The 10,204-nt window shown below is 52.6% G+C and overlaps 1 pseudogene, besides 1 other annotated feature; it reads right to left on the bottom strand.

The window, feature by feature from the left end:
- Positions 5,602-9,489, bottom strand: PAEPP1 (progestagen associated endometrial protein pseudogene 1; annotated as a pseudogene).
- Positions 9,423-10,173: an enhancer, noted in NCBI's record as "H3K4me1 hESC enhancer chr9:138479168-138479918 (GRCh37/hg19 assembly coordinates)". NCBI's record gives its function as "activates a minimal SCP1, AML or CMV promoter by ChIP-STARR-seq in naive H9 embryonic stem cells {active_cell/tissue: H9 hESC(naive)}" and the evidence as "EXISTENCE:reporter gene assay evidence [ECO:0000049][PMID:30033119]".

The raw sequence follows: 10,204 nt of genomic DNA, 5'->3' as shown, positions 1-10,204 counted from the left end.
CAGTGAAATCGCAGAATTTTAACTATTAGACCACAAAGAACGATGGCTTTTGTTATTCCCTCAGGCCATCTGAAGTAAGGAGTTTGAGTCTCCAAAGATTTTAGCTTTGTTTTAGGTTAGATTTTTCTCTTTCATTTATTCAAGAGCATTTTTAAGGCTAGCCATGACACTATCATGTTTTCTTTTTTAAAAGAAATCCGATCACCCCATCATTTTTCAACATGGAAGCCTCTGGGGTCTCTTATGGTGGCTGAACAGAGACTTTTCTCTTAGAACTAAGGCTTTCTATGCTTTCCCTTTAGAACTAAGGTTCTTGCCTAGCACTAGGGTTCTCTGCAATTACACTTACCTTAGGAAGGGTTCCTTAGAGTGTCCTTAGTGTGAGAGTCCTCATAAAATCTTATGGACCAGCTGAATCTGACTGGACTGGGAAGTTCCCCTCCTAAACCTGGGCCAACAAAGACATTCCCTCCAGAGTCCAGATGGAGGGAACCAGGACAGGGACTGAGGAGGAAACAGGAAGAAATAAAGGGAAGGGATAGAGAGAAATAAAAGTCTCTGAAGTCTTCAATCTAAAAGCAGGAGATCTCAGATCCAGGGGACCTTACCTGGCTTCCTCCCTGTGTGGTCAGCTGGGGAGACAGCTGAGCTGAAGACCTTGATGCATTGACTTCCAATCATGCTGGGAGAAACTGGTGCTCTCTGCAGATCCCATCCTCATTACCAATCATGTCAACTGAAGAATGATGAGGTTCATACGTTTGGAAAGGAGAGTTTTCCTTCTCATAAGGGGTTACAGCCTGCAGGGTGGCCATTCTGACAGGCTGAGAAGTGTAGCCTTGGGCCAGGAGCTAGAAACAGAGATTTCCACAGAGAGGAAAAAGGAGCAGGAATTTATGCCCAGTAGAGTGACTGAATATGCATATTTAATAAGCTATAGGAAGAGTTATGAAAGGAGAAACATACACATGGGCAATGGAGCTTCATGCTGTTGCACGTAGACCAGCTAGAACCACTCTGTGGTCAGTGGTCTCTTATCAGGAAGGAATGCTGGACAATTGTGTTGAAACCATAAAAAAGGGAGAAGCAGTGTCAGGCGCTTGATTGATATCCACAGTGGAGTCTTTTGAAAGGGCTGGTTTCTATTTAGCCCTTAGGGAATAAAGTCCAATGGCAGTTAGTGTGTGTGCAGGGGGTGGGGGTAATAAGGAGGAGTGTGTGATCCCCTCATCCTGTCATGGCTTAGAACTCAGCTTTCAAGGTTACTTTGGGGCCTGCTTGGCCAAGAGGGAGTCCGTTCAGCCAGTTGTGGGGCTTAGGGTTTCATTTTTATTTCCCAAATGTCATTATAAAAAGAAGAGAGATGAGACCTTTCTCTCTACCATGCGAGGATACAGCAAGAAGGTGGCCATCTGCAAACCAGGAAGAGAGCCCTCACCAGACGTGAAATCTGCCAGCACTGTGCTCCTTTTCTTACCATTCCCAGAACTGTAAGAAATAAATGTTTGTGGTTTAAGCAACCCAGTGTGTCATATTTTGTTACAGCAGCTGGAACTGACTAAGACAGAGAGAATGCATTCAGTTGTTCACAGGTGAGTATAGTATTAATTGTAAGCTTTCTGTAGATGATCTTTATCAAGTTAAGGAAGCTCCTCTCTATTCTTACTTTTCTGAGTTTTTGAAAAAAATTATGAGCAGATATTGAATTTTGTGAAATACATTTTCTGTATTGATTAATATGATCATATATTTTGTCTTTGTTAGTCTGATAATATGGTGGATTACATGAACTGATTTTCAAATGTTGAACCAATCTCTCCTCCCTGGCGTAAACCCTTCTTATTCATGGTGTACACTTATTGTTATATATTGCTGAAATCTACTTGCTAATATTTTGTTAAGGATTGTCACATCTATAATCATGAGGAACACTAGGTTGTAGTCACCCTACCTCCACCTTTTTATTACTGGGTTTGTGTGGTTTTGGTATCAGGGTAATAATAATAGCTTCATAAAATGAATTGGAAAGTGTTACTGCCTCTTCTATTTTATGCAACAGATTGTGTGGCATTAGTGCTAATTCTTCTCTAAGCACTTGGTGTAAATACCCTGTGGCACTATCTGGGCCCCAAGATATCTTTTTATGGTAGTTTTTAAATTAAAAATTCAATTTCCTTAATAGTTGTAAGGGCTATTAAATTATGTAGTTCATATTGAATGAATTGTGATAAGTTGTATTTTTCAAAGAATTGTTCCATTTCATCTAAGTTGTAAAATCTATGTGTGTAGAGTTGTTCACAGTATTCCCTTATTATCATTTTGATGTCTATATGGTCAGTAGTGATGTCTCCTCGTTCATTCCTGATATTAGTGATTTGTGTCTTCTCTCTCTTTTTCTTTGTTATACTACATGTTTCCTTTACAGTGTTTATGCTTTTTGTTTCTTTTAATTGTCTTACTGCACTGGAACTTTCAGTATGTGTTGGATAAGAGCAATGAGAAAGGACAACCTTGCTTTATTCTCAATCTTAGGGGGAAAGCATTCAGTCTAGCTGAATGCTTACATAAAGCATTAGTTGTAGTTTGGTGATTTTTTTTTTTTAATCATCAGTTTAGGGACGTTCCTTTCTATTCTTAGGTAGGAAACCTAGGTAGGATTGGACTTTTCAGCCCCCTTCTAGGGAGGTAATAGGTGTCCCTTTCAGGATAGGGCACTGAATGGACAGTTTGAAGCCCCTTGATGCCTATGTTTTCTCTCTGGCATGGTGGCCAGCAACACCACGGGTGGTGGTTATTTGATCACTTGGATTGTTGAGTGACCATGAGGAGTCAACTCTCCTGCTAAGCCACAAAGGAAATTTTGCATAAGCAAGAAATAACTCTTTGGTGCTTTCAGTGATTGATTCATTCATTTCAGGGTTTCAGGGTTACTTATAAGCACAGCATATGCTATTTAATGTTGAATGACACTCTTGATGTGCAAGGTCTCCTTCATGAATGGAATATTATATTTTTTGAAACATATTTTTAAAAATTAATTAAAGATTCTTATATGGCACTTCTCCCTTAGTCTTAAGTTAGTTAATTTTATTGATACATTTGAGATGGAGTCTCATTCTGTCACCTAGGCTGGAGTGAGGTGGCATGATCACGGCTCACTGCAATGTCCACCTCCCAGGTTCAAGTGATTCCCCTGCCTCAGCCTCCGGAGTAGCTGGGATTACAGGTACCTGCCACCACACCCAGCTAATTTTTGTATTTTTAGTAGAGACGGGGTTTTACCGTGTTGGTCAGGCTGGTCTTGAACTCCTGACCTCAGGCGATCTGCCTATCTTGGCCTCCCAAAGTGCTGGGATTACAGGTGTGAGCCACCACACCTGGCTTTTATTGATACATTTTCTAATATTGAAATGTTCTTTGTTTTTTGGGCTAAATCATGATGTATTAAATACGTTTGTTAGATTCAGTCTGCTAATAAGGTATTCAGATATTTGTGTCTTGATTCTGAAAGTTGACAGCTTTCCTTTTCCTGTATCTTCCTTCTCCAGTTTTGTTATCAGGGCAGCTGAGCAACTCACCGTCTTTTTCTATGCCCTGGAATGGATCGTATGAGCCAGGAACTATCAGATAAAGGTTTTTTATTCTCATCCACAGACAGAAGATCTGGAACTATTCTGGTTTTTTCTATGATGATTGTTCTTTCTAAGTTTCCTCTACTTTTTGAGCCAATATTGGTCATTGATATTTTATTGGAAATGTATCCATGCCATCTATATTTTGAAAATTTAAAGTTATGCATGTTACAATTATTGACAAATCTATTTCTGTTGTTGCATATTCTTTTTCCTTTTGTGATGTTCAAAATATTTTATAATGAAAAACAAATTCCTCTCCCATATCTCACCTCTTTTGTTCAGTTCCTCAATCCAGGGGAAATCTCTTTATTTCACATTAGCCCAGAAAAGATCAATGGCATTTATGAGCAGATGAAGGCTGATAGCAAAGCTCTTCCTGGTAGCAACTTCCCTTATGCTCCAGAGAGATGCCCTGGAGGTCATGGGGTTTGTGTTTTTTAAATAGTGCAGAATTTGATTTGTAAAACACTCATTTAAGTTTTTATATCAATATTTATTCAATGAATGGGTCTGTGATTTTTCATATTTTGTCCTTTGTGTGGCCTGGACCTCCAACATGAATGGCAAGCTCTGGCCATCTCAGCAGCACTCTTATCTAGTTCCTGAAAATTTTAAAGCCTCCTATAGTGTCTTGATCCCCAAATATGATAGGGCCTACAATACAGAAACCATGAACTCAGTTCCCTCAACCCCCCAGCCCCCGAGTCCCCCAGCCCCCAAGCCCCCCAGCCCCTGAGCCCCCCAGCCTCTGAGCCCCCCAGCCCAGTCCCCCAGCCCCTGAGTCATCCAGGCCCCAAGCCCCCAGCCCCCGAGTCCCCCAGCCCCCGAGTCCCCAGCCCCCGAGTCCCCAGCCCCCGTGCCCCCCAGCCTCTGAGACCCCAGCCCCTGAGTCCCCCAGTCCCCGATCCCCCCAGCCCCTGAGTCTGCCAGTCCCCGAGTTCCCCAGCCCCACAGCCTGCCCTCAGCTGCATCCCCACGCGCCTGCCAGCACAGACTCAGGGGACGGGGTTATTTATTGTTCAAAGAGGGACAGCTTAGGACAGGAGACCCCAGGCTGAGACCCAGGAGGTCCCAGCGTCCCAGGAAACGTGCCTTGGTCTTCAGCCTCCTTGTCCCTCCCAGGAAGGCGACATCCTCTCCGTCCGCACAGGGGCCGAGGCTCCAGGACCTGATGTGCACAAAAGGGCTCCCCTGTGACTCTAGGACCCTGCCCCTGCAGGTCCTAGAGTGAGGGACCCCTGCTTATGTGAGAGGAGCCCCCACCTCACCCCCAGCTTCAGGCCGGAGGGGCTTATGATCCCAGGCCCACCCCTGAGCCCCCCACCCTCACTCACCCCCACCCTGGAGGAGAAGGCCTCATCCTGTGCCCAGGACACAGGAAATGGCATCTGGAGCAGCCAACCCCAGAGACGCGGGCACATGGCCAGCTGGGCTTTTCCAGATGCCCCAGGATTCCAGCCCATCGCTCAGGGTCAGCCCTGGGGAATGGACACAGTGGGGTCTCTTCCAGGAGCCCAGAAAGGCGACCTCAGGCTATGGGCGGGGCTGGTACATTACCCAGGAGGCAGGACTGAGCAGGAGCTCATCTAGACGCGGCACTGTTCTGTGGGAGGAGAGGGGGCAGTGGGGGCGTCAGTGGGAGGGGAGACTTAGCTGGGGACACAGCAGTCCCAGGGCCAGAGGTTGGGGGATGATGGGAGGGGGACGGGACCCCACCTCAGGGTGCCTTTGCATCCCCAGGGGAGCCCTGGGGAGAACATGGGAGGGGCCAACGAGGAGTGACGGGTGCTGCCCTGAGTCCTACAGGGCCAGCGGGGGGCTTGGGCTGGGACAGTGGTGGCTTCTCCTCCAGCCGAGGCTGGGCCTGTCTTGGGTGGAGCTCACCTTCCGCCTGGGTAACGTCCAGGAAGATCCACATGTGCACGGGCAGGGTCCTGAGAAAGCTGATGAATTCCTCCATGACCTTGTCGTCTGCCTCTAGGGTCCTGGCTGTGGGGGACGCTGGCTCAGTCCTGGGCCCTGGGAGCTCCAAGGACCCTGCCTGGGGAGGGAGGGCAGGGAAGGAGGACCCAGTGCTCCGAGGTCAGGCAGAGTTTGGTCTGGAGCAGGTCCCCAGGGCGGTCTCTAGGGCTCCTGGCCTGTAGATTCCCTGTCCCCAACTCCCGCTCCTCGGCCTGGCCCCCTTTGCTCCGCTCTGGGCAGCACTGGGGCCCGCTCTGGGCAGCACTGGGGCTCAGGATGGTGTCTACAGTGTCACGGAAGGAGAGCATAGTGCCTGCCTCCCCCGGTGCCTGGCTCTCACCAAGCACAGCTGAGGCTGATCAAGAAGACACCTGTGTGACCCCAGAGGAAATGGTGCGCTCAGAAACATGGGGAAGGGCTGTGCCTATGTGGCTATATTTTTTCCGAAAAGTTCCTGCCTCCCCTGAAGTCCCACTGATGTCTCCCGCAATCCAGGAGGGCGGATTTATAGAACAGGGGATGTATCTATAGCCCCAACACCAATGGTCCATTTAGGAACCCTGGGGACCCTTAAGAACAGAGGCAACAGCACCATGAGCTTTACCGGGGTTAGACTATCACCTTTTAAAGCTGCATTCACATTTGAGATCCAACTTAAATCTCCATTAATGAAGGTTGATGGACTAATATTGGCCAGTTCTATCTGCTTGTAAGATGTGGCCCCTCCACTTGCTGCCAGACCCGTTTACCACATCGGCCCCCTTTGGCCTGACCCAAATTTGACACTAGTCCCTGCCCCCCGCCCCCATTAAAATCCCCCCTACCGCAACATCTTCCCTGGTGGCTTCTGGTTTCCGACACCAACACCAGGCAACCTCCGGCGAATGGGGCCTGGGGAGGTGGGCAGGGCGGCCCCTCTCTCCTCCCACTGAGAAAAGGACCGGATTCGGGGTTGTTCAGATGAAGCCCGGGGGCCCCTGTGTCATCCCCAGGTACTGGCACATCGTGTGGTGGTCAGCACTGGGTGTGGTGGTCCCCATGCAGAAGAACACGTAGCTCCTGTCGTCTAGTCTGTGTCCAACACAGAGATCTTTCTTGTCCCGCGACCTGGAAAAAAACACAAAAACAGACACCAGAAATCACATCTGAGTCCCTCCCTATGGCCTCTGTTCCTGGGTGCTGGGCTGACAGCAGCCATTCACGGGACCACGGAGTAGCCGCTCCCTGCACCTGGGCAGCCGGCCTCCCTCCTTCCTGGACCTCTCCTTGACGCTCAGTCTCCACCTTTGCGATGGCTGCTGGCCGCTCACCACTGCAGCACGACATATTCTATGGATGGAGGGGCGGGTCCGGGCAGCACCACCTTGGCACTGACCAGCCCCTTCTGCACCCCCGCGTGGGCAAAAGGCTGCAAAGGTAGTTCTTCCAAACTGCGGCTCTGACGAAGCCGTTCTCCAGATTTACTGCCCTCCTTGGATGAATTCTACTCCTCCGTGACCCGGAGGTGACATTCATTCATTCATTCATTCATTCATTCATTCATTCATGGTGCCTCCCTCTCAGGGCAGGTGCACAGCAGGCCTGGGAAGGCTCATGAGCTGGAGCTCGGTTTCAGTCTGGAGGTTGGAGCTGTGCACAGACATCAAAGAATGGAGGAAAGAAACAGAGCCATGTCTGCTCCAGCCCCTTGCAGCCTCCCCTTCTCAGATAGACGTGAGCTTGAGTGGGGGTCCCTGCTTGCAGGTGAGGAACTGCAGACATGGGGGGCTATGTGGCTGCCTGGTTGTTCCGCCTATGTGTGGCAGGGACAGCTCTGGAGATTAGACTGGACCCTGCCTCACCTGCTGGAGCAGGGGCCTGGCTTGTGTTCCAGCTAAGGCCAAGGTTGGGGGAGGCCGCCAGGGATGTGGGCCATGCCGGTGGGGCAGGGCACTGGGGGAGCAGAAAGAGACTCTGGGAGCTGCTGGGATGGGGAAGAGGTCGGTGAGGACCAGGGTGTTCCAGAAGCAGGTGCCAGATTTGAGAGGCCAATCTACTGCGTGTCTAGCTGCAGGTCTAGTTAATTTGGTTATTTTTAAGGATCCAAGACAGCTGGGCCACAGGCTGCAGGTTTCCGAGCAAGGAGGTTGCCACCTGCCTGCCCGAGGTGACAGAAAATGCTCCCAACCCAGACCTGTGGTTGTGAGCTCAGATTCAGGTCCTGATGAGTTTGAGGTCAACAAGATGCTATAGGCTCTGTCCCTACACCAAGTGGGTCACAGCCTCAACCCCCAGGCTCAGCTGCCAGGAGCCTTTGGGACGGGACGAGGCTCAGAGCAGGACCCAGCCGTGGGGGAGGGAACCTGCTGGCTTCTGGCTCTGTGGAGAGGCTTCAGGGGACAGTGTGGAACTGGCCCGGGGCTGGGGCACCTACGGTCGACCATGAACACAGCCGGGTCCTCAGTCTTCTGGGCGAGGACGGTCCTCTCAACGCATCTGTGGTGTTCCCTGAGAAACCGCACAGAGGTGGGGCTGTCCATGGGCCCAGTGCAGGGATGGAGGCTGCACTCCAGGAAGTGACCTGGGGACACAGCACGCCCAGCCCAGCCAGGTCGTCAGGCATCAGCCTGAATGGGGCCTCCAAGGCGGAACAGGCAGCCAGGTGGACAGTGGGGCGGACGGAGGCAGCCAGGACCTGGCAGGAGAGCTGGCCATTGGCCAGGTGTTTGAGCCACAAGGCAGCTCAAAACTGACCCTGACTGTGTGAGGCTTTGACATAGTGTTTATGAGGATCCTGGCCCCATCACGGCCACACCCCCAGTTCCTCAGCCACCTGACTCCAGGGGCCCAGGCAGGGCCGTGGCAGGAACCGCGCAGGTCCCAGAAGGGCTGCGGCCCACAGCAGCCCAGCCTGGCCTTCCCCAAAGACAGAACCAGGGCTGTGCTGTGTTTTCAGTCCATTGGCCCAGAGCCCTTGGGCAGGGGCTCCAAGGGGAGTGGGAACCTCCTGAGCCCCATTCTCCACCCCAGCCCAAGGCACCATGGAAGGCCCACAGTGAAGCCTCAGGAATGTCAGGAAATGCCTGGGGCTGAACCCCAGCTCCACCCACCCCACCCAGCCCTGGACCCGTGGCCCAGGGAGACTGAGCCCCCCACCAGCCCCAGCCCCAGTGACGAGGAACCCACCATCTGTGCAGAATGATCTCCAGGTTGCCCTCGGGGGTGGGCCACAGCGAGGTGATGTTGACCCTCAGAGGGGCCTCCACGGTCTCCAGGAGGGAGAAGTCACTGGCCACCATGGCCATGGAGTACCAGGTCCCTGCCAACTGAGGGGGCCTTGAGCTGCATGGAGGTCCCCACCCCACCATGGCTCTGGTCACCCCCTGTGTAGGCAGGGCCCAGTCCCTTGTATGGCCAGCTTTCCCGGGTGGTGTGCGGAAGGCGATGAATTAGGATTCAGGGCATGTTTGAGAACCAACTGCCATGCGCCAGCGCCTGGCTGGAGGTTCCTATGTATCTGGAGCAACCATCCTGACCACTCTGCCTAACCCAGGGCCGTCCCGCCCGAGCTCCCATCGAAGGCACAGCACCACAGAGGCTGCTGCGTCCCAGGGGTGAGAGGGCAGCTGTGGGTTCAGGGCCCAGGTGGACAGAGGCGGAACAAGCTCCCCTCGCATCTGGGGACACAAGGTGGCCCCTCACACTGTGGCCTAATTCTGTGCTTCCTGTAGGTTTCTGAGATCCTGGGCTTCCCAGATGCCTGCAGCTCCCACCAGCCCCAGGCTTCCCACGGTAAAGCGCCCCATCCCCCGACCTCAAACCTTTGGGAGCTCCACGTCCTGCTTGGTCTGGGGGATGTCCCTGGCCTGGATGGCACAGACCAGGGCCATGCTCAGGGTGAGCAGGAGGCACTGCATAGCTGTGGCTGTGGGTGGCTCTGAGCTCTGGAGTGAGAGGGATGCTGAGGTAGTGTGGGCTTGGGGGGACTTATGTAGGAGGAGGGCAGACAAGAGCCCCGCCCACAGCCTCCCCACGTGATTCCTCCAACCCTGTGACTCATCCTCTGCCGGTGGGCAGCTTCCTCCACTGGGACAATGGGAGGCTCTTCCCTACATCCACATGGGAACCTTCTCTGTGTCCCGGCCGGCCGGGCAGTTCCTGGCAGGGCCTCATGTGGGAGGGGCCTGGGTTGGGTCCAGACTGGCAGCCAGTGGTGTAAGCACCTCCTGGGTTGGGGCTCCTGGACAATGGCGGGTGTGAGGTCAGCACTGTGGACAGCTGGGGCAGGGGTACCGCCTGTGGGGCAGGCAGAGGGCCTGAGAGCCCCATGGCAGCCTGGGGACCCAGCAGATTCTGCACAAATGTGGTGCTGTCTGCTCTGGGGAAAGAAGGCAACACTGCAGCCCTGGCCCCTCCCCCAACACTGCTGTCCTCACGTGTCACTCCTCAGGGCACCCCTGTCCCCACGTGTCACTCCCGAGAGCACCCCTGTCCCCGCGTGTCACTCCCGGGGGCACTCCCGTCCCAGTGTGTTATTCCTGAGGGCACCCCCGTCCCTTCGTGTCACTCCTGGGGGCACCCCAGTCCCCGTGTGCCGCTCCCATAGCAAGTGCCCAGGATGGGAGCCA

The sequence above is a fragment of the Homo sapiens genome, chromosome 9, assembly GCF_000001405.40.
Source record: "Homo sapiens chromosome 9, GRCh38.p14 Primary Assembly".
NCBI lineage: Eukaryota > Metazoa > Chordata > Mammalia > Primates > Hominidae > Homo > Homo sapiens.
Note: the sequence above shows the minus strand (reverse complement) of the source record. Positions and strands in the feature narration are given on the sequence as shown.